A 25598-nucleotide genomic window follows, 5' to 3' on the forward strand; every position below is an offset into this window, starting at 1 on the left:
GTGTCAAGTCAAAATCTGTTTATTCCACCAGGCTTGGTGCCTCACGCCTGTAATCCCAACACTTTGGGAGGCTGGGGCAGGTGGATCACATGAGGCCAGAAGTTTGAGACCAGCCTGGCCAACATGGTGAAATCCTGTCTCTACTAAAAAATACAAAAATTAGCCAGGCATGGTGGTGGGCGCCTGTAGTCCCAACTACTCAGGAGGCTGAGGCAGGAGAATCACTTGAACCTGGGAGGCGGAAGTTACAGTGAGCCGAGATCATGCCACTGCACTCCAGCCTGGGCAACAGAGTGAGACTGTCTCAAAACAAAACAAAATGAAACAACCAAAATCTGTTTATTCTTTCCTAACGAGAATACACTGATACGTTTACTAAAACTACTGGCTTTTAGTTAAAATCTATTTGAAATTATGTTTATATTTATTTTACTTGAATTTTCATCTTGGTGTATATAGTTCTTTTGCCAAAAGAAACAGAGGAAGGTTCTCTAAATATTTATCATTATTGTAAAGGGGAGGAGAGGTAGAGAAAGATGGCTGAATAGAACACTCCAGTGATTTTCCCCTCACAGGAACCCCAAACTGAACAACTATCAATGCAAGAAAGCACTTCCATAATAACAAAAAAATTAAGTAGCAATCACAATACCCGATTTTAATGTAATATCAAGGATAGAGGCATTGAAAAGCTCAGAAAGACAGTCTTGCATTATCTACACCACCCCTCCCCCAGCCCCAGGCAGCACAGCATAGAGAAAGAATCTGTGGGCCTGGGAAAGAGAGAGCAAAATGAGTGTGCAACATTGCATTGGAGCTCAGCACTGCCCTGTCACAGTGGAACACAGTACAGGACAGAATTCTGCCAGTGCCCACGGAAGGAGCATTTAGGACAGTGCTGGGCCAGAGGGGAATCCTCCACCCCAGCAAGAGGAAACTGAGTCCCAGCCAGCTTCACCATTGGCTGACTAAAGTGGCTTGAGGCTCAGAATAAATTTAGGTAGCAATCAGGACCCAAGGAGTGCAGTCCTTGGACAAGCTCTGGTGCTACCCTGGTCTTGGAGGTTGTGATAGTTAATATTGAATGTCAATTCGATTGGATTGAAGGATGCAAAGTATTGTTCCTGGGTGTGTCTGTGAGGGTGTTGCCAAAGGAGATTAACATTTGAGTCAATGGACTGGAAAGGCAGACACACCCTCCATCTGGATGGGCACATCTAATCAGCTGCCAGCAAGGCCAGAATAAAAGCAGGTAGAAGAACACAGAAAGGACTAGACTGGCTGAGTCTTCTGGCCTCCATCTTTCTCCCATGCTGGATGCTTCCTGCCTCAAACATCTGACCCCAAGTTCTTCAGCTTTTGGACTCTTGGACCTACACCAGTGATTTGCCAGGGGCTCTCAGGCCTTTGGCCACAGACTGAAGGCTGCACTATTGGTTTTCCTACTTTTGAGGTTTTGGGATTCGGACTGCCTTCCTGGCTCCTCAGCTTGCAGATGGCCTGTGAGACTTTACCTTGTGATTGTGTGAATCAATTCTCCTAATAGACTCCCCTTTATATATCACATCTATCCTATTAGTTCTGTCCCTCTAGAGAATGCTGACTAATACAGAGGTGGTAGACTTCAGTTGTGACACCAGCTGTGGTGGCCAAGGGTGTGCCTGTGTCACTCATCCCCCAATTCCAGGCAGTGCAGCTCAGGGACTCTTTTCACTTGGAGAAAGGAGAGGGAAGAATACAGAGGGCTTTGTCATGTAACTTGGGTACCAGCTAAGCCACACTAAAATAAAGCACCAGGGAAACTCCTGTACCTCCTGATTCCATGCCTTTGTTTCTGGACAGTGTTTCTAGACCCACGCTGGACCAGCAGGGAATCCAATGTCCTGATGGGACAAACCCCGTTCTGCTGAATAGAGTGGCTTTGGCTTGGAATAAACATCAGCGACAGCCAGGCAGTAGTGACTACAGCCGTGGGGTGAGCCCCAGCACTGTGCTGGGCTACAAGGCTTTACATGTGACCCTGTGCAGTGCCAGCTGTCATGGCCATTAGAGTGACCGCATTATCCCTCCCCCAACTCCAGGCAGCCTGGTGCAGAGACTGACTTCCTTTGCCAGAAAGAGAGGGAAGTGGGAGAGACTTTTTACCTGGTAACCCAGGGAATTCTCCCTTATTTTCCCAAAATCTACCAAAGCTGTGTATCAAGGAGTCTGTAAGAGTTGCAGCATTCCGGGGCTTAGGGCACTCTCTAGTGCTGAAATGGCTGCAGTGACCATAGGCTTAGGTCACAACACTCAATCCCTTTTGAATTCTTGGAAAGTCCTCTCAAAAAGGATGGCTAAAAACAAGCCTATACTGTGAAGACTGGAATAAATACCTAACTCTTTAATGCCCAGGTATCAACAAATGTCTACAAGCATCAAGGACATCCAAGAAAACATTACCTCACCAAATGGACTAAATAAGGCATCAGTGACCAGTCCTGGAGTGATGGAGATATATGGCCTCTCAGATACGGAATTCAAAATAGCTGTCTTGTGGAAGCTCAATGAATCTTTTTTTTTTTTTTCGAGATAGAGTTTCACTCTTGTTGCCCAGGCTGGAGTGCAGTGGCATGATCTCGGCTCACTGCAACCTCCGCCTCCCAGGTTCAAGCCATTCTCCTGCCTCAGCCTCCTGAGTAGCTGGGATTACAGGCACGTGCCACCACGCCTGGCTAATTTTGTATTTTTAGTAGAGACAGGGTTTCCCCATGTTGGTCAGGCTGGTCTCGAACTCCTGACCTCAGGTGATCTGCCTGCCTCAGCGTCCCAAAGTGCTGGGACTACAGGCGTGAGCCACTGTGCCCGGCTTTTTTTTTTTTTTTTTTAAAGGGGTTCTCACTCTGTTGCCCAGGCTGGAGTGTAGTGGTGCAATCACAGCTCACTGCAGTCTTGACCTTCTGGGCCCAGGTGTTTATACCACTTAAACACTGCAAGTACTTGGGATCACAGGTGTATGCCACCATGGCCAGCTAATTTATTTTTATTTTTTATAGAGACAGAGTCTCCCTATGTTGCCCAAGCTAGCTCAATGCACTTTAAGATAACAAAGAGCAGAATTTTATCAGATAAATTTAACAGAGATTAAAATAATTTTTAAAAGTCAAGCAGAAATTCAGGAGTTGAAAAACTTAATTGACAAACTAAAAATGCATCAGTTTCTCAATAGCAGAATGGATCAAGCAGAAGAAAGAATTAATGAGCTTGAAAACAGGCTCTATGAAAATTCAGTCACAGCAGAAAAAACAAAAAAATAAAAAGGAATGATGCATACCTACAAGATCTAGAAAATAACCTCAAAAGGACAAATCTAAGTTATTGGCCTTAAAGAGAATGGAGAGACAGAGAGAGAGAGAGAAAAAGAGAGAGAGAGAGAGAGAGAGAGAGAGAGAGAGAGAGGCAGCGGCAGGGAAGGAGGGAGGGAGATCAGGGTAGATGATTTACTCAAAGAAATAATAATAGGGAACTTTACAAACCTAGAGTAAGATATGAATATCCAGGTATAAGAAAACCAAAAAACAAGCAGATTCAACCCAAATAAGACTACCTTAAGGTATATAGTCATCAAACTCTCAAAGATCAAGGATAAAGAAAGAATCCTAAAGGCAGTGAGAGAAAAGAAGCAAAGATACTTTCCCAGACAAACAAAAGCTGAGAGATTTCATGAAAAACCAGACCTATCTTATAAGAAATGCTAAAGGGAGTTCTTCAGTATGAAAGAAAAGGATATTAATGAGCAACAAGAAATCATTTAAATGCATACAACTCACTGGTAAATGTAAGTACACAGACAAATACAGACTACCCTAACACTGTAATTGTGGTGTACAAACCACTCATACCTTTGTAGGAAGACAAAAAGAGAAACCTATCAAAAATAATAACTAGAGCAACTTTTGAGATAGATAGTATAAAAAGATGTAAATAGAGGCAACAAAAGTCAAAAAGTGGGGAGGATGAAGTTAAAGTGTGGAATATTTCATTTTCTTTTTGCCTGTTTTTCTTTTCTTTGCAATCAGAACGAAATTGTCACCAGTTTAAAATAATTGATTATAAGATGTTATTTGCAAGTCTTATGGTAAGCACAAAAACCTATAATAGATATACAAAATATTAAAAGCAAGAAATTAAACATACTACAAGAGAAAGCACTTTTTTTCTTTTTTTTGAGACAGAATCTCATTCTGTCACCCACGCTGGAGAGCAATGGTGCTATCTTGGCTCACTGCAATCTCCGCCTTCCAGGTTCAAGCAATTCTCCCAACTCAGCCTCCTGGGTAGCTGGGACTACAGATGCATGCCACCATGCCCAGCTAATTTTTGTATTTTTAGTAGAGATGGGGTTTCACCATGTTGCCCAGGCTGGTCTTGAACTCCTGGCCTCAAGTGATCCACCTGCTTCAGCTTCCCAAAGTTTTGGGATTATAGGCATGAGCCACCGTGCCCAGCCAATAAAAAAAAATCACTTTTATACAAAGAAAGACAAGAAGGAAGAAAGGAAGAGAGGACAAACAAAACAATCAGAAAACAAATAACAAAATGGCATAGTAAGTTCTTACCTAGCAATGATAATGCTGAATTTAAATGGACTAAATTCTCTAATCAAAAGACATAGAGTGGCCAAATGGATTTAAAAACAAGACTGAACGATATGCTGTCTATAAGAAACTCACTTTACCTATAAAGACACATACAGGCTAAAATAAAGGATATTCCATGCAAATAGAGGCCAAAAAAGGAACAGGAATAGCTATACTTAGATGAAATAGATTTCAAGATAAAAACTGCAAAAAGAGACAAAGAAGGTCATTATATAATGATAAAGGAATTAATTCAGCAAGGGGATATATAAATTATAAATATATACACACCAAATGCTGGAGCACCCGTATATATAAAGCAATTATTAGAGGTAAAGAGAGAGATAGACCCCAATACAATAGGTGGGGACATTAACACCCCATTTTCAGCATTGGACAGATCATCTAGAAAGAAAATCAACAAAGAAACACTGGACTTAATCTACCATAGACCAAATGACCCTAATAGACATGCACAGAACATTCTATCCAACACCTGTAAAATACACATTATTTCCTTAGCACATGGAATATTCTCAAGGATAGACCACATGTTAGACTACAAAACAAGTCTCAAAAAATTTAAAAAAAAATTGCAATCATGTCAAGTCTCTTTTCTGACCACGATGGAATAAAACTAGAAATCAATAGCAAGAGAAACCTTGGAAACTATGCAAACACATGGAAATTAAACAATATGCTCCTGAACGACCATTATGTCAACGAATAAATTAAAAAGAAAATTTTTAAAATTTCTTGAAACAAAAGAAAATGGGAACACAACACACTAAAACCTACGGGAGACAGCAAAAGTAGTACTAAAAGAGCAGTTAATAGCAATAAATGCCTACATCAAAAAAGCAGGGAAACTTTGAATAAACAACTGAATGAGGCAGCTTATAGAATTAGAAAAGCAAAAGTAAGCCAAACTCAAAATTTATAGAAGAAAATAAATAATAAACATCAGAGTAGGAAAAATTGAGACTAAAAATATACTACAAAAGATCAACAAGACAAAAAGTTGGTTTTTGAAAAGGTAATCAATAAGCTTTTAACCAGACTAACTAAAAAAGAGAAGACCCAAATAAATAAGATCAGGGATGAAAACGGAGACATTACAACTGATAGTGCAAAAATTCAAAGGCTCATTAGAGACTATTATGAGCAACTACTATATGCCAATAAATTGGGAAACCTGTCAGAAATGGATAAATTATTAGACACATAAAGCCTACAAAGATTGAATCATGAAGAAATAGAAAACTTTAATAGACTACTAATGAATAACAAGATATAAGTAGTAATAAAAAGTCACCCATTAAAGAAAATCCCAGGACCTGATGGCTTTACTGCTGAAATCTACCAAGCACTTTAAAAAAGAACTACTATTAATCCTACTTATATTATTCCAAAAATTTGAGGGAACACTTCCAAACTCATTCTATGAGGCCAGTGTTACCATGATACCAAAACCAGACAAAGACACACACACACAAAAGGAAACTAGAGGCCAATATTTCTGATGAACACAAATGCAAAAAATCTTCGAATACTAGCAAACCATATATAACAACATAGTAGAAAGATCATTCAACATGATCAAGTGGGATTCATCACCCAGGGATGCAAGGATGGTTCAACATATGCAAATGAATCAATGTGATACATCATATCCAAAGAATAAAGGACAAATCCATATGATCATTTAATTAATGCTGAAAAAGCATTCAATAAAATTCAATATACTTTAATGGTCAAAAAAGTAGTATAGAATGAACATACCTCAATACAATAAAAGCTGTAAACAACAGGCCCACAGCTAGTATCATACCCAATGGGGAAAAACTGAAAGCCTTTCCTCTAAGATCTGGAGCAAGACCAGGACACCCACTTTCATCACCTTCATTCAACATAGTACTAGAAGCCCTAGCCAGAGCAATTAGACATGAGAAAGAAATAAAGGACATCCAAATTAGAAAAGAAGTAGTTAAATTATCCTTATTTGCAGATGATAAAATCTTCTATTTAGAAAAACATAAGGATCCCTCCAAAAACCTATCAGAACTGATAAACAAATTTAGTAAAATTCAAGATACAAAATCAACATATAAAAATCAGTATCATTTCTATGTGCTAACAGAAAATGGAGAAAGGAGAACCCTCATATGCTATGGGGTAGAAATGTAAATTAGTACAGTTACTATAGAGAAGAGTATGGAGGTTCCTCAAAAAACTAAGAATAGAATACCATATGATCCAGAAATCCCACTGCTGGGCATACATCCAAATAAAAAAAAGAAAATCAGTATTTCAAAGTGACATCTGCACACCCTTGTTTATTGCAGCACTATTCACAGTAGCCAAGATATGGAATCAACCTATGTGTCCATCAGCTGATGAATGGATAAAGAAAATATGGTACATACACATAATGAAATATTATTCAGCCACAGAAAAGAATGAAATTCTGTGTTTTTTGCAAAAACATGGATGGAATTGGAGACATTATCTTAAGTGAGGTAAGCTAGGCACAGAAAGATAAATTTAGCACGTTCTCACTCATATGTGGGAACTGAAAAAAAAAATTGAACTCATGGAGATAGAAAGTAGAATGATGGTTTCAGGAGGCTGGAAAGAGCGGGGATAAAGAGGGGATGGTTAATTGGCACAAAAATACAGTTAGCTAGAAGGAATAAGATCTAATATCTGGTAGCACAATAGGGCAACTATAGTTAACAATAATTTATAGTTAACAATAATTTATAGTTAACAATATATTTCAAAAGAATTAAAAGGGTGGAACCAGAATGTTCCAAACACACAGAAATGATCAATGCTTGAGGTGATAGATATCCCAATTACTCTGATTTGATCATTACACATTGTATAATTGTATCAAAATATCACATATACCCCATAAATATGTACAATTATTATGTATCCATTATTACAAATTAAAATATTCTTATTACCTTGTGATAGTTTCCAAGAACATGATTTGTTCCTTTTCCTTAACACACCTCCTTTTTTTGAAGCTAAAAATATGCATTCTTGGGTTCTATATATAAGAAACATTTCAAGTTGGAATAGCAATGAAAGAGATGATCTATGCAGTGTTGTTTGCAAGTAATTGATCACAACCAGTTACAGATCTATGTGTTCCTTCTCTACTCCCAGTGCTTTACTTGACTAGACTTTGGGGGCAGGGGAATGAAATGATCTAAAACTACAGAGTGTCAGACCAGTCTTCTTGTCCAGCTCTGCCACAAACCTCATTGGAAAGACCATTCAATGTGTATTTGGGCTTTCCTACCTCATCAGTGTAATGGCAGGAATAGACTTACAAGACTCCAACTTGCCCATTCAGTTCTTTGAAATCGGTGGATTTTAATTTACTGTGGCTTCCACTGGCCACCAAATTTGGCACGAAGCTGAACATGATTCTTCTTATCCCTCATGTCACTCTATTATCTGCTAAAATTTTATTGCTTTATTATATCTCAAACTTATACCTACTTGATATTATTTTTACATGTATACTTAGCCTCTTATTTTTCTTTTAATATTTAATGTCTGCATTTGATTCAGAGAGATATTTTTCAGCCCTATCAAATTTGAAAGTAGCTTAGAATTAGAAAATTCTTCCTAGCAGGAGTTTGCCTCACCAGCTGCTGTCTCCTAAACCTGTTCAGTAGAGTCATATTTCATAGAGCTGCCTCTTAGATTTTTACTTTGCATGGCTTAATTCCACTTCTCATTATCTCCCATCTATAGTTCTTTCGATCTGTAACTACACTCCAATCCACTAGAATTCTACAAGCTAAAATAACATTTTATACCCCCCTGCCCCAATTTATAAAATACATTTTATAGGCAGTTGCAATTTAAGATCAGAGTTGAACCAAAGCCAATGTAAAATCCCTTGGGAGGAGACGCCAAACTCAATCACTTGAACCTTAATCTCAATTTTCCCTCTTTTTCTTTCTCTCCTTTCTCTTTCTTCTTCCTTCCTTCCTTCCTTCTCTCTTCTTTCTTCTATACACACACTCTTTCATATTTTCAATTACAAAATATGAATTGCAAAACATAAGAATCAAACTAGCACTACAATCAAGATACTAGTTTTGTACGTATATTAAAGTTTTATGAATGTTATATGCATAGGTATTTTCTGGAACAGGAGACAGTAGAGCAGTAAGGTATCTACAAATGCATCTGACCCTCTGAGGAGCTCTGCTTAGCCCCCACCTGCCTAATGTGAGCTTAAAACCCTGCCTTGGACAAAGTTGCTTGACTTCTTCTACGGCTCTGCTTTGCTGATGCTTCCACCTGTGTTCAACTTTGCAACTTGGCCCCATTGTTCTCCCACCTTATTAAATGATAACATTGTCTAGTCTTGTATTCCTTAATTTTTATTTTTTTGAGAAATGAATCCAAACATTCTTTCACTTGCACTAGTTTCTCATAGTGTACAAAAGAAAGAGAAGACGATAAGGAGAAAGCAAAGAAGAAAAAGGAAAAGAGAATGAAAAAGAAGAGAGAGACTACTCTTGACATTTCTTCCTTAATATTTATTTTACTTTTGCTTTTTAATTTTTTATCTTATTTATTTTAAATTTTAAATATCTACTTACAGCAGATTATTTTTAGAATCAGATTAAAATTTTATTTTCCCTTATTACAAACTCATTTTCATTTTCTTTCTTGAGACAAACTGGCAGCCTATATTGCTTATTATTTTTATTTGCTTTTAAAAGCTGCTGTTATTCTTTAGTGTCTGGGGATACCAATGTGATGATCTCTCACTAGTTCTTGTAGATAGTTATACTCACAACATGCCTATGGCTTCATGGAAATGAACATTTGCCACAGCTGCATAGGAGCTTACTCAAATGGCCAACACTAAATCTAACTAAAATGACAATCAAAGCTCTGGCAAGACTATCAGGCAAATGAGTCAGAAGTTAAAATTATCATTCAAGTTGTAGGGGTCCTTTTAGAATCCAAATTTCAAAATGATTTGTTTTGGGATTTGCAGTAGTTAGAAATGCTAATTTATGCAGCAGAGGACAACATAAATACATAATAGGGCAAATGTGGCTTACTAGAGCTCTTGTAAGCAAAATTTAGGGACCTTAGCAGACAGTAATACTAATATGACTTGAATTAAAAGTGTATTATAACCTTAATCTTCAAAAATAGACTTTTAACATCTTCCATGGAGAATGCAATAGTCCTGCTATACTCTGCTTTGACGAGACTAAAAATATTGTGTTCAGTTCTGGTCACCTCAACTTGAGATGGCACAGACATATTGAAACATGCACAGGAGAGGGCGACCAGGTTGCTGAGGGGAACAATAGAAGGAGGTAGCAATGATATACCTGAAAAAAAAAAAAAACTAAAAAGAAATAGAAAAAGCATTTTTAAATATCTGAAAGATTGTCACACAGAAAAGGCAGCTTTTGTTCAAAATACTACATAGAATGTAGTCTTCCCATCAACTTGGTCAAATACACCAAAGCTTGAATCAATGAGTAGATGCTACAGGAAGTTCAATAACATGAAGGATTTTTAAAGACAGAATTGTCCAAATGGACTATGCAGCTTAGGAATTAAAGAATTCTCATTATTTGAAGGGCTTGGGCACAGGAGATCCTAAGCAGATGAGATTCCAGCAGATGTTTGCTCAGACTGAGTGACCTTTAAGGAATCCTTTTCAACATTAAATTCGGCAATACCACAAAATTAAAAGCCATTTGATTCCAATAGCCCTGGACACATTAAAGTAAGGGCCAAAGATTTTAAAGAAAAGATGCATAAAATGAGAATTTAAAATTGCCAATTTCAAATTCCCAAGCTGAGATAAACACATTTCTAGTTAAGTAACGAGGTCAATTAAATTCAAATTTCGAGATTCAAAATCTCCATTTTTGAAATTATTTGGTTATCCATATGTATAAGGCTGTTAGTCCATTCAAACTTGGCCTCTCATCAATGGGGATAATTTTAGATATTTCGTTAATGAACAGTAAATTTTTAGGTCTATGATTGTCATACCATGATTCCTAATAATTTCATTTGACAAACATACTTTTGACATCATGTTTTGTGTGTGTAAACATCTATGTAAGAATATCATTTTTTCTTTTATCTTCTGCACAGAAGTTACTCTGAAATGTATGAGAAGGCAATGAAATATAATATGACAGTAGGTATATTATTCTAAAAGTCCTAAAGACGATAACAAATATTATCCATTTGGGGATAGAAGGGAGGTAAATGTATAGCAGATGTTTCAGAGAAAAAGAAAGAAAACTGAGTAAAAGCCTTTAGCATTTATCAAAACAGCATTTACAAACATTCAGCCAGATCCTCCGAGGTCCCTAAATGACCAGCAGGACATTAGCTCACTGGGGTGTGCAGTCCCTGGCCACAATGCATTATAGTGGGAAGTCATTGATTGGATAACGAAAAGATTAAAGTGGCTTCAGACTAGGCAAGCTTTTCCACTATTTAGGTTCCCAATGAAATGCATGCAACTCAAAGAAAGAAATCATATGAATTAAAATAGGGAAGATTACTTAAAGGCAAAAAAAGACTAGCAACACTAAGACTAACCAAAAGAAAGCTACTACATGACAGGTGGCAAATGGAGGTCATAATAGGGTAGACTGTATTTGATGATCTCCCATCATTTGGGAGAGTCAAATGATGCAAGAAAAACAGTTAAATATAATTTTCCCATGGTAAATATTTTGTTATTACAGTGACACTCCAAAATGTGTCATCAGTACAATATTTACTCACTATAAAAATGCTTGTTTTCCAATGGACCTTTTAAAGATGCCATTCATTGATATATCTGTATATCATGACCTGGTCAAAGTATTGGTTTTTAAGCAAAACAGAAACCAATTTCTGAAAACACATAAAGTATAGCTACAATAATATTTTGATCTCTTTCATTAAATCATTATTGAAAATTTCTATTTCAAAAGTTTTTTTTTTCAGGTTGTTTTCATTATCATTTCAAGATCAAAAGCTGCTTTTTCTACAAAGTTTAGCAGAATGGGCAAATCTCAGGGCATTTAAAAGGATTTCCTATAAGGAAACTTCGCTTGTTTTAAAAAATATTGTAATCATAAACATTAACCAGTTTTCCCTTTCTAGATTTCAGATGCAAACAATAAAAGCATCAGTATTCTGTTCGATAGAAACAAAGAGAAGGCAAGTAATCCAGATAATTAGTGACACTTTTATATTTTAAAGTTAGGAAACAGGTTCAAGGAAAGAGGATTCAAAGAGACTTAAAAAGGAGAGCTAGTAGTACCAGATATACATTATTTAAATAATACACAAATTAATAATCTCAAGATAATATGAAAAGTTAGTAACTCAAGGAAATATTATATTTCAAAGATAAGAAATGAAAGATAAAGTTGGTAGTAGTTAAGTTTCATCACAATAAAAATTTACAAATACCTTCTTCAACATCTGAGATATATTCGCCATCACTGAGCATTTCAGGGGCATTGGCTTTACGAACTGCATGATTGAAGTGAACAATATAAGTGGATGAAAAATACATACTCTTGATATTACAACAAAACGTTTCAATATTCCTGATAAACATTTTTGCAATGGACTTTCTTCAGGAAACAAACAAAATACACAGTCACTTATAATTATTGTGAACTCAAAGAACATTTTCATACCTTCATCATCAGACATATCAAGAACTTCATTCATCGTTTCTGGAACATTCATTTTGTGCTTCTCTGTGACAGTCTAGTAACAAAAAAGCAGTCATTTTAGTGTGAGCAGACTGTACATTTTAATGGGTCTTTTCATTTATCTCTGAATTAATCAGTTTCTTGTGGAATGTATGTGTTGAATATCTTGAATCTCCCACATATAAAATAACATCAAAATTGTTGTCCCTTAGTGTCACAAAGGTTGTCACCATATACAAAGCACAGGAGTACAAAATGAAAGAATTCTAGTGGCAAAGTACCACAGCTTAAAAGATTTAGGTCTCTAATAAAGCTTTTCAAAGGAAAAGAGAAGATTCTGCCCCTCCTACTCCACTGCTATACTTTTTCATGGTCTGATGAATCTGCCGCCCCATTCCACGAAAGGTCTCGGCTGAAGAGAAGCCAAATGAGCTGCAAGAAATATGTCTCTATTACTTGTGCCAAGCTTTCCGTCTATTTTGTGTTCTCCTCTTATATGTACTTTTAATTCATAGGATAAAACAAAATATTAAAATAATATTTACAACAATAATCTTTACAATATTGTGTATGAAAAAATACTTAAAAGGTGATGCATTGGCAGATCATTTTAGCCTCCCCCAAAATTTAAAGAACAGTATATTATGCAGCAAATGCCTACTGCCTCTTTTACTTTCTCTTTGATAACTTAGATTATACCCACCCAAAAGACACTGTCAGCATCACTGGTAAGAAAATCTTAGATTATATCCATCCAAAAGACACTGTTAGCATCACTGGTAAGAAAATCTTAATGACCTTAGTTTAAAAGTGAGTTTTTTTTTTGTTTTGTTTTGTTTTTTTAATTCTCAGCATATGAGACACTAATGGTACAAGGGAAGATACACGTTTAAATGAGACAACTGAAAAAAAGCCAGGTTGTTAAAACTAAAAAAAGGTACAAATTCATAGTTTCTTAGAGATAATACTTGGTAAATGTGATTTCTACCCCTATCCCCAATTATTGTGTTGAAATCAACCATTATTTGATGTCTTTTCCAGCATGTAATACTGCAATGGAGCAGTTTTAAAAATAAACTTTTATTTTTAGAAGAGGTTGAGATTTATAGAATAATTGTGAAGATAGTATAGACAGTTCCCATATACCCCACACCAAGTTCCCCTTATTATTAAAATCTTCATTGATAGTATTATTATTATTTGAGACCAAGTCTCGCTCTGTTTCCCAGGCTGGAGTGCAGTGGCACAATCTCGGCTTGCTGCAACCTCTGCCTCCCAGGTTCAAGCGATTCTCTTGCCTCAGCCTCCCCAGTAGCTGGGATTACAGACGTGCATGGCCACGCCCAGCTAATTTTTGTATTTTTAGTAGAGACAGGTTTTCACCACGTTGGCCAGGCTGGCCTCGAACTCCCAACCTCAGGTGATCCACCTGCCTCAGCCTCCCAAAGTGCTGGGAATACAGGCATGAGCCACCGCGCCTGGCCTATTATTAAAATCTTTTATTAGCATGGAAAATATCACAATTAATGAATCAACATTGATACATTATTATTAAAGTTTATATTTTATTCATTTTTCTTTAGTTTCTGCTTAATGGCCTTTTAATGTTTCAGGATCCCATCGAGGATACTGTATGACATTTAGTTGTGTCTCCTTAGGTTCCTCTGGGCTGTGACAATTTCTCAGACTTTCCTTGTTTTTTTAAAAAAATTAATTTAAGTTCCAGGTTAAATGTGCAGGACATGCAGGTTTGTTACATAGGTAAACAAATGTGTGCCATGGTGGTTTACTGCACCTATGAACCCATCACCTAGGTATTAAGCCTCGCATGCATGAGCTATTTATCCTGATGTTCTCCCTCCCCACCCCCAGGCCCCAGTGTGTGTCCTTCCCCTCCCTGTGTCCACGTGGTCTTATTGTTCAGCTCCCACTTGTAAGTGAGAACATGTGGTGTTTGGTTTTCTGTTCCTCCGTTAGTTTGCTGAGGATAACAGCTTCCAGCTCCATCCATGTCCCTGCAAAGGACATGATATCATTCCTTTTTTATGACTGCACAGTATTCCATGGTGTATATGTACCACATTTTCTTTATCCAGTCTATCATTGATGGGCATTTGGGTTGATTTCACATCTTTGCTATTGTGGATAGTGCTGCAATGAACATACACATGCATGTATCTTTGTAACAGAATAACTTACATTCCTTTGGGTATATACTCAGTAATGGGACTGCTGGGTCAACTGATATTTCTGGGTCTAGGTCTTTGAGGAATTGCCACACTGTCTTATATGATGGTTGAACTAATTTACATGCCCACCAACAGTGTAAAAGCATTCCTATTTTTCCACAGCCTTGCCAGCATCCGTTGTTTTTTGACTTTGTAATAATTGCCATTCTGACTGGTATGAGAGGGTATCTCATTGTGGTCTTGATTTGCATTTGACTTTCCTTGTTTTTGATGACCTTGACAGTTTTGCAGTATACTAGTCAGATATGTCCATCAACTGGGGCTTGTCTCATAGTTTTTTTTTTTTTTTTTTTTTTTTAATAGACTGGGGCTGTATGTTTTACGGAGGAAGATCACAGAGGAAAAGTGCCATTTCATCACATTGTATCAAGGGTACAATACCATCAACATGACTTATCATTGTTGATGTTGATCTTGATCATATGTCTGAAGCAGTATTTGTCAGGTTTCTCCATTGTAAAGTTACTCTATTTCCCCCTGCTTCCATACTGTTTTCTTTGCAAAGGAATCACTATGTTCAGCCCACATGTAAGCAGTGGGGAATTATGTTCCACTTCGAGAGTGAAGTATTTTCATACATTATTTGGAATTCTTTTGCCTGAGAAATTTGTGTCTTCTTTTCCATTTATTGAATTACTTATGTATAATAGTATGAATTCATGGATAGTTATTTTACAGTTTGCACTATACTTCAAGACTATTATATTTATTTATTTTTGCTCAAATTGTTCCAGCTATGGCCATTGGGAACTCTTTTAGTTAATTCATATGTCCCTTCAACATACCCCCTACCATTGTGCCTCTGTATTAGTTTATTTACTTTTGTTGGGGGAGGGAGGAGCATTTCCTTACTTTTTGACACTCTAAGATGTTCCAGGCTCATCTTATATATTTACTGTGCTATCCTTAGATTCAGCCATTTCTCCAAGGAGCACTGTTTGCTTTTAGTAGAAAATAGTATTAGCAACCAATATCTGTGTGCTAGAGGTGTTCTGCTCCTTACATATGAAGTAATTGGGTATTTTAAACAATGCAGTTTTGATAGATACAATTCACATCTTTTGAATATCAGCTTCTATCCATTCAGTTTGGTATGCTGTTTTGATTGTAATCTAATTAACTAAACCGTCTTTCTCAGCATTGCCACATCATGTATTTTACTCACATGGAAAAGACATTCTCTTTTTGTTTTGAAAAACTGAAGTCTGTTTATAGAGTCAATGGCTGCTGGAGTCCCAGTAACTAGCTATACAAATATCATGCCTGTGGTGGAGGCTGAGCTAGAGTTATTAGCTTAAAGTCATAGACTCCACCCTGAATTACATCAGTCCTGTCTAAGCTAGTTTACATGTAACCGCTAAAGCAAGGCTGACAAGGTGGTGTCTCAGCTTGAGATAATGTACCAAATACCACAATGCTGGGCGAAGTTTTAGAGACTTCTCTGGACTCTTTTTTAATCAACGTGAACACTTCTTTTGGTGGAAGCCTCATTTTCTTCACTAGGCAAACTGGACCTTTCCAATTAGCATGCATAGTGTCTTCTCTCTTTTGCAGAAAGTCATCAACAAGGACAGCTGATGATGTTGAGAGTGAAAAGGCACTATTCCTGTACACATTCTGTCTTCTGATGGGAACCTGATGGAGCTCTGAGACCCTTCTCTGTCTTTCAGTTGATTTTTTGAAGTTGTAACTTAATTTTGTTCTTAACTCTACTTTCTCTTAAAGCTTTTTTTTGATTTTGAAGAAAAGTTTTGAAATTTTGTAATGGGTGAGAAAGCCATTTACATTCAACCAAATAAGATGTGTATTTTGAACTTTTACATGTCTCAAGTCTTTTAACATTGAAATAGAAGTATTAATATTATATATTTACTGCAATGACTTCAAATCTTTATAGCATTGTGACACTTGGCTATCGTTAAATAGTTTGTTCTCTTCTCCTTTCCTATCCTAGATAGAGCTACATGGGATATAAAATTAAAGGTAATAAACATTATTGGTTTGAACACTTTTTTTGAGAACTTAATGATAGATTTTAATATAATAAAATCCTCAAGAGGTGTATGAAAGCAACATGTGGAAATTTCTCTCTTAGACAAAGTATAACTTGAAGTTCGGAATGGGTGCTGCTTGACAATCATTGTTCTATTCCATTAAAACAACTGTTTTCTCTTTTGCAAATTACAAAATTTTTCTCCCGTAATCAGCAGGCTTGTTTTTTAGTTTCTAAAGACTAAGAATTATACATTGAGTAACACTGCCAGATAACTCAAACTGCAGGTAGTTACAGAGACCTTCAACCCATGTTTTTCACAAAAAGCAGTGGGTATACAAACTAATTTGCAGATGCTAACCATTTTCTCCTTCATGTTGGAAGGTGGTCGAAGAGAAAAGGGGACAGAGCTGATAATTCAAAATGTTCCAGAGTCCTATATTTACTTTGTTAAGAGTCAACCTCAGGTCTATGTGTTGAGTCATGGAGTCAGGAATAACTCAAATAAGCCTCTGATATCATGTAATATTTGCTTTTAATTCCAAAGTTACCAAATGTTAATGCTGTTCAAAGGTACCAGATGGGGTTGGAAAGAAATGACTTATCCTAGAGGCTGCAGCTTGTAAAAATGTAGTTGATGCAATAGGGCCTCCTGGTAAAGATCCACTTTAAATTTTAACAAAACAGCCTATTGTGTTTCTTATGAAAACTCCAATAGGACAGAAGATGAGTGACAGTAGCAGGCAAAACCAGTTCTGATCCCATCTGGAATTTTTTAAAACAATGTAAACATTTTTTTACAGGAATGATAATGTATCCATGTACCATTTGTGCATTAAAACATTTTTAAGGAACCAACTTAGAGTTTTCAATTTTCTTTACGCTGCCAAGGAAGGATGTTAAAAAATTTCTGCCTTCACCATCATTTCATTAAGAACTTGTTATATCAAAGCAAACAAATAAATAAATACATTTAGCTGTATATGGAAGTAAAAACTCTATAGCTACAGATGCATCTTTTAAATAGGTATTCTTAGTGTTTTAAACTTTTATTCATATTAGCAATAAGAGTTTTGCTATCCTGACTACCAACAATGAGGTGACTGTATTTTAAAACATGGTGCTTAGTTTATGAATGGGAAAAAATATTCATCTCAGAAAAACCCAAGAAAACTGGCTGAAAGCTGGCTCCTAGGGTAACAAGGTTCTGCATTCCTTACTTACAGTTGTGGTCATGGTCTCTTCGGTCACTATCTTCAGGGTGTCCACTACTGAGATGTAGCCGAGGCGCCGGGCAATGCCAAGGGCAGTATTCCCATTCTGGCAAAAGGAAAATGTGAGTGAGGAATTAGCAAGCCTTATTCCACATTTTTTTTGCTGATACAAAATGTAAGGTGAGTGTCTCATCAGACCCATCCCACTGTCATACACAAATAAGTGTTTCATTAGAGACATACCTTGCACAAAACCCACCTAACCTGTTTGTACAGCAAAGTCTGGGCAGCTACACATGCAATCCAAGAGGCTTTTTAACGTTCTAAGTAAGCAATCAATGAAACCAACACAATTTTTTTTTCTTACATGTGTACTTCCTACTAGGTGACAATGCAGTAGGTAGTTTTCACATATAAAACACTAATCATCTCTCTCTCTCTGAACAGCTCAGAACAATATGGTTATTGTCCTTCTTTCCTCATTCTACTGAATGCTCTGTTTATGCCTCTTCATGAAAGTACAATGAAAAACGTAAGAAGACACCAGAGTCCAGGCCCATCTATCTCCTCCCTCTTCTCCTGAGCTGGCCCTGAGCGCTTACCACAGTGAGTTCATTGGGGGAGGCGTTGTTCTGAAGTAAGACATTTATTATATGCGTATGCCCCTGCTGTGCTGCTTGATGTAATGGCGTATACCCATTCTGTAGAAGGAAGATGGAAGAGATGATTCTTAATTCCTTTGAAGCAAAAATAAATGATTCTGGCAGAAACAAAAAAGGAAGGAGCTTACCTTTGTTTTGGCATTAACTTTTGCAGAATGCTGGAGCAGGAAATTAACAATCTTGATATTTCCATAGTGGCAGCCCACATGCAGTGGTGTGTATCCCATCTGTAATTATTATTTTTTTAAAAAAGAAGCATCATAATTACACTTTTACTAACAGCTATCCTAAACAGAAGCAAAATCATTATTTAACCTTTCTTTTTGAGCTGGCAAAAGTAGGTTTTTTTCTTCTCTATATTAAAAAAATTGCCCTTGATAATTCTCAGCATAAGACTTAGGTATAAATTAAAATACCACTGCCCATAAAATTGTTAGCTCCCCAAAGTGCTTTATTTTTTATCAGGTCATCTTGTTCTTAGAACTTTTCAAGATACAAAGGAAAGATGGAACAACTGACAGCATAGACAAACTGATTCAGTGGCTTCTTATTCGGGGTCAGAAGAGCACTTTATGGAGACTTGACTTGTTTATTGAATACTTTCTGAAAGCTTTAAATCTAGGCAAAAATGAAGTGGCTAAATAATAACACATGGCAGGAGGTGATTATCAGAATGCCTGATAGAGATAGGAAGAAGCACAGAAACACTAAAAGGAAGAGGGAGGCTGGTGAGAGCTCAGGTGGTCTGAGAAGTATGAACTTGAACAAGGTATATCAAGTTAGTCTTTTGCCTTCCTACCTAGAGTCCCAGAGTTTGAAAACCACTGATTCACTGATTTAGACAAGAAATGGTTTGTTTCTCAAATTAGTATCCACTGACCCCTGAGGGGCTATAAGTTCTCTGTGTGTGTATATGTGTGTGTATGTATGTGTATACAATCTAGATAATTATTTTCTTTAAAATAAGGATATTCCAGATCCTTCTCTAGATGGCTGTGTTCATTATAACATACTACCCCGCAATTTCAGAGCCCCTGTTCATAATGACACAGGCAGTACCAGATCTCTGAAAGGGAGAACATTGACCTTTTATCACAATATTTCTAAACAGGAATGGGGGTGGGTGATCCATATTTTCAAGGGTCTGTATCTTATATGATGGCACTAGAGTCTTTATGGTGACCCCAGCAAATGAATACATTTGAATTTGAAAAAGAGATGCCCAAACCACAGTTGACTGCAGAAGGTGAAGATACCTTACCAGGGATGTGCTGCCCTAGAGCGGTGACTCTTGGTAGACTTTGTCTCACTAAACACACTGTCAGTGCACCCACACTGACCAGACTGTCCCTGGAAAGCTCACCATAACCACATATAGGAAACTGACTTACAACCTCTAACGCTACTGAATACACGATGGAAGATATTCCTTTTTGGTGACCAGAATCCATTTGCCTGCTTTGCAGGGTTCTCCTTTTCAATACAGAGGAACTCAGATACTGCACCCATGATCAGAATACTGCTTAATAAGGGAAGCTTGAAAATAATGTGTCCAATCAGTGCTCAGTACAATGGTTTAACTGATTGAAGTAACATTATTTCCAAGTTCAAAGAACTTCCCCTTACAAGTCAAAACCACGTGGACCCAATATTTTTTAAAAATCTAAATATTAAAAAATTCTTTGAGATTTTAGTCAATTTGCCTAAGTTATAATACAACCATTTCTAATAGTTGTTGAGATGGATGTGTTGATTAGGTATATATAGTTGAGACAGGGTTGTTTATTTATTTATTTGAGACAGGGTCTTGCTCTGTCACCAGGCTGGGGTGCAGTGATGGGATCATGGCTCACTGCAGCCTCCCCTCCTGGGCTCAATCTATCTCAAGTAGCTGTGACTACAGGCATGCACCACCACGCCTGGCTAATTTTTCTATTTTTTGTAGGGATGAGGTCTCACTATGTTGCCTAGGCTGGTCTCAAACTCCTGGGCTCAAGTGATCTTCCTGCCTTGGCCTCCCAAAGTGCTGGGATTACAAGTGTGAACCACCATGCCTGGCCTAAATATGTTAATGCACAGGTTCTATTCATCCTCATAGTTTCCCATCTCATTCTTATTAAAACCCTAAGTCATTATAATACAGTGTTAGGAGCTGTCTAATTCTAGTCTCCCCTATCCTCCTCATCCCCCATCCATACATCTTTTAGTCTTCCCACAATTCTCTCCCTTGGTCGCTGTGCTCCAGGACACTGGTCTTCCTGCTGTTACACAAACACTAAAGTGTTTTTTCAAAAATACATGGGCATGGCCAAGAAGATTGAACTTGCATTCAGAGAAATCAGATGTGGGCTCCTCCATTCATCGGGGTTAACAGCATTCCCATACAAAATAGCACCTCGCATAAATACGCTCAGAGAGGTGGGACATGAGCAATTCTTTCCAATCAGCAGTAACAAATTTTTCAAAGACTCCCTATTTTTTTCTTGAGTAGCTAAATAAGCAAACAAATAAAGAGCCATAGCCCAGGGAACAGAGCAGCCTCTACCTCTTTGTCATAGCTGCCTCACTGATAACATCATTACAAGCTGATTAGGTTTTTCCTTCCTTCCTTTGGGCAACACTGGATAGAGCTCAGCAAAACCCTGCAAAATGCATCCGAGTCTTTAACAGCATTCCTTCCTTTTTTCCTCTCTTGATTACCAAGTAGTAGATGTTTACATCCATTCACTGATAAGACTGCACTTCTGACTGATGAGAACGGGGGAAGGAGGGGCTCAGCAGCCAGGAGCCCGGGCCTCAGAGGCAGACTGGGTTTGGGACCCAGCTCTGCTACTTACTATCTGTGTGAATTTGGATAAGTTATTGAACCTCTCTGTACATTGGCTTATGCATTATAAAATGGACTTTAGTAGCAGTACCAAAGTCATTGTGTTGTCATAAGGATTAACTGTTAACAATTATTTCAACAGTGTCTGACACATAGGGTTAGCTATTATTACCTCGTGCTGAAAACAGTGCCTGGCATATCATCAGTGCTCAATAAATATTTTAAATCTTTGGTAAATTAATGACTGAAAATAGGAAAAGATCAGGCCGGGTGTGGTGGCTCACGCCTGTACTCCCAGCACTTTGGGAGGCTGAGGCGGGCAGATCACTTGAGGCCAGGAGTTCAAGACCAGCCTGGTCAACATGGCAAAAACCCTGTCTCTGCTAAAAATACAAAAAAAAAAAAAAAACAAAAAAAAACAAAAAACAATTAGCCGGGCGTGGTGGCATGTGTCTGTAGTCCCAGCTACTCAGGAGGCTGAGGTGGCAGGATCACTTGAACCTGGGAAGCTGATGCTGCAGTGAGCCATGATCATGCCCATGTACTCCAGCCTGGGCAACAGAGTGAGAGACTCTGTCTCCCAAAAAAAAAAAAAAAAGAAAGAAAAAAAAACCAGAAAGAAAAAGAAATTGTCATTTCTAACTCTGGCTCAGCCTATTCCGCTTCTGATACCCCTTATAATTTTGCTAACCAGGCCAGGCACAGTAGCTCATGTCTGTAATCCCAGCACTTTTGGAGGCCGAGGCCGGCGGATCACCCGAGGTCAGGAGCTCGAGATCAGCCTGCCCAGTATGGCAAAACCCTGTCTCTACTAAAAATACAAAAAATTAGCCAGGCGTGGCGGTGCCTGTAATCCCAGCTACTTGGGAAGCTGAGGCAGGAGAATCGCCTGAATCCGGGAGGTAGAGGTTGCAGTGAGCCAAGATCACACAACTGCACTCCAGCCTGAGTGACAAGAGCGAAACTTCGTCTCAAAAAATAAATAAATAAATAAAATAAACAAAAACAAACAAACAAAAAAAACCAAGTAATTTTGCTAACCATTTTTCTTTCCTCTGGCATGCTCATCTCAGCTTATAGACATATTTTTATGTTTCCATCTTAGAAACAAAAAGCACTCCTTTCAAATATTTCTCCTTTTCTCTAGGTTTCTATCCTTTGAAAACTAAACTTCTTGGAAAAAAAAATAATCTTCATTCACTGTTCCAGCTCATCCTCCCTACATTTCACCATCTCCACTGCTCTAGTAAAACTGCTTTTTAATATCCCAAGTGCCCAGCCATGCATGGCATGCATGGACTTTGAGCTTCTCTTATCTGAAACACCTTGACAGTTTTTCATAATTTGACAGCCCTATCATATTCTTTCCTGATTTCTCCTCTACCTTTGGACAGCCCTCCTTTGCCTCCTCCATCCACTGTAAAATGGAGTGGATCCCGAGGGTTTTGTCTTTGGTTTGCGCCACACTTTTCCTTGAGGATCATATCTACTTTCACAGTGTCAGCTAATACCTTGACTGTGATGATTCCGAAATCTGCATCTTTAGTCCAGCCATCCTTTCTGTGTCCAGATCAATATGTGAGTCATTTCTTGGGTTTTCCTACTTGATTGGCCCCCAGTAATCTACAATTCAACACACCCAATAGGAAACTCATAGTCCTCTTTCCCCAGCTGGCTTTGTCTCTCCTTTATTCCCTGTCTCATTGAATGGTACTTGTGATCACCCAGTTGCACAGGTCAGATCCTTAGTTTCCTCCTGAATTTCCTGCTTCTCCTTAGTCCCCATACCACACATGGTCTTCAAATCTTTTTTTTTTTTTTTTTTGTTTGAGATGGAGTCTCGCTCTGTCGCCCAGGCTGGAGTGCAGTGGTGCGACCTCGGCTCACTGCGAGCTCTGCTTCCTGGGTTCACACCATTCTTCTGCCTCAGCCTCCCGAGTAGCTGGGACTACAGGCACCCGCCACCATGCCCAGCTAATTTCTTTGTATTGTTTTAGTAGAGACGGGGTTTCGCCGTGTTAGCCAGGATGGTCTCGATCTCTTGACCTCGTGATCTGGCCGCCGCGGCCTCCCAAAAGTCTTCAAATCTTAGCTGTTTGTATGTCTTTTAATTATCTCTCTAATTTCTCTCTTGTTCTCAGTGTCTCATCTGCCACTTAGTTCAGGCCTTCTTTATTCTTCATTTGGATTTCACAATAGCCTAACTGACCCTGCTGCAAGGTTTAAAATCAACTTATTCTTCGCATTGCTTCCCAGGATCTTTGTAAACCAGATTGTTGATCTTATCACGTTTGTGTTTAAAACCTTCAGTGGCTTCTCAGTGCAAACAGGATAAAAAGCTGGACAGCTTAGCCTGGTACATTAAGGCCCTCTGAGATCTTAATTTTCTAGCAACATCTTAAGACATAATCCCCATTTTTCTTCACATGTTCCCATGATATTGAACAAGCTTCCTCTATCCTACCCACCTTTGTCAAAAATCTTAGTTATTACCGAATACTCTAAAATTATATATATATTTCTAGATATAGACCTGTGGTTAAAATCAGGCTTTGTAATAATTAGCTTTGGGACCTTATGCAAGTAATTACTTTTTCTGTGCCTCAGTTTCCTCATCTGTAAGACGAGGATGCTAATTTTACCAGCCTCATAGGGTAGTTGTAAGAATTAAACAAAATAATAAATGAAAAGCACTTAGAATAGTACCCGGCATAGAGAAAATGGGTAATACATTGTTTTATTTTATTATGATGATGACTTTGTTATTATAATACTATGAGTTTTGCTCTCTAAACTATGAATTCTATGAGGGCAAGGAATATATCTCCCAGGTAAGAATTTGGTGACCAGCAGGAAATCTACACATAAATGTGAAATAGGTAAGTATCACATAAGTTCTCAAAGCTTTTTATGCTTTTACACACATTTAAAGAAATCCAGTGTAACTCCTGATCCCTAATTAGTGTCCTCTAAGAATCAATGCCTTTCAGGGGTGGTCTAAATAAAATGCTTCCGGACATTATCCTTCTGAAAAGCAAAAGCAGTGGCTTCATCTCTATCAAACAACACTGATTATTATACCCTGTGGCACAATTTAGCTTAAACTCATTTGGTGAACTTCAAATGCAAAAGGGGGGTGGGGTATAAAGGGTCAGCAAACTGGAGGGGTGCGGGGGGAGAGGACTGCAAAGGCTGTTACCAGGATTTTCTAGTCTTCTCCTCATCAGGGAGAAGAGGTCTTGATATTTTTATTATTATTAATTATTTTTGCATGTAAGCCAATGAGTTGAATGGTATACATCCCACCTGTGGGCTGCTTGGGGATGTCTTCTTTACCAGTGAGAATGTGAACATTCCTGGGATACAACAAATTCCTTATTCACAAAATTAAGCAGCAAATGCAAGCAACCCAGCTATCTGCACTTCTGCTGTGCTCTAGTTATGGGACAATCATGGCTTCACTTCCTTTTGGTGGCTGTGACCTTTGCAGAGAAGAGAAAGGAAAGGAAAATAACTTGTAAAGGACAGAGAGATGCTTTCTGAAGTGAGACGCTCTGCTCCGTTTGTAAAGGGCAGGAAAGGTTACATGCTGCCAGATATCATACGGGGTACAAAAATGACTACGTGGCCGGGAACGGTGGCTCATGCCTGTAATCCCAGCATTTTGGGAGGCCAAGGCAGATGGATCACCTGAGGTCAGGAGCTTGAGATCAGCCTGGCCAACATGGCGATACCCTGCCTCTGCTAAAAATACAAAAATTAGCTGGGTGTGGTGGCATGTGCCTGTAGTCCCAGCTACTCAGGAGGCTGAGGTGGGATTGCTTGAATCCGGGAGGTGGAGGTTGCAGCAAGCCATTACATTCCAGCTTGAGTGACAGAGTGAGACTCCCTCTTGGAGGAAAAAAAAAAAAAAAGACTACCAACTGGGACCTGAGTTGGGCTGGGTTAGAAGGAAACTGTGGTGGAGTCCTGAGACTCGTACATCGAGGGGCTGTGTGTGCAAATGGAAAACAGATGGAGGCAGCACAGTACTTGTTTCTCTCCTCCCCGACCTGGCCTTAAGAATCCTCACCATACTCCCTGGCTGAATTTTAGGGCATGGCTTGGATGTGCTGGGGCAGAAAAATGTTGAGAAACTTGACCCAGACCTTGCCTTCTAGAGTTTTATATCTATAAAAAGGAGAGAGAACCTAAGAAAGTGTTTAAGTCTGTCTCTCTCTCTCTCTGTGTGTGAATAAAGCGGTATGGAATGAAGACATTTACCATAAAGTTGCAAATTTCCAAAGTCAAGAATTATT

General features: G+C 38.1%; 1 protein-coding gene across 4 annotated transcripts in view; it reads right to left on the minus strand.

Annotated features, from left to right (window-relative positions):
• ANK3 (ankyrin 3) overlaps window positions 1-25598 on the minus strand; it is a 707231-nt gene that overhangs the window by 128189 nt on the left and 553444 nt on the right. For all 4 annotated transcript variants that reach the window (NM_001204403.2, NM_001204404.2, NM_001320874.2 and 1 more), the window contains 5 exons: window positions 18602-18700; window positions 18414-18512; window positions 17822-17917; window positions 12338-12410; window positions 12105-12167 (listed from right to left, as the gene is read on the minus strand). In NM_001204403.2, coding sequence (NP_001191332.1) covers window positions 12105-12167; window positions 12338-12410; window positions 17822-17917; window positions 18414-18512; window positions 18602-18700 — 430 coding nt within the window. The remainder of the gene's footprint in view (window positions 1-12104; window positions 12168-12337; window positions 12411-17821; window positions 17918-18413; window positions 18513-18601; window positions 18701-25598) is intronic.

The sequence above is a fragment of the Homo sapiens genome, chromosome 10 (assembly GCF_000001405.40).
Source record: "Homo sapiens chromosome 10, GRCh38.p14 Primary Assembly".
NCBI classification, from domain to species: domain Eukaryota; kingdom Metazoa; phylum Chordata; class Mammalia; order Primates; family Hominidae; genus Homo; species Homo sapiens.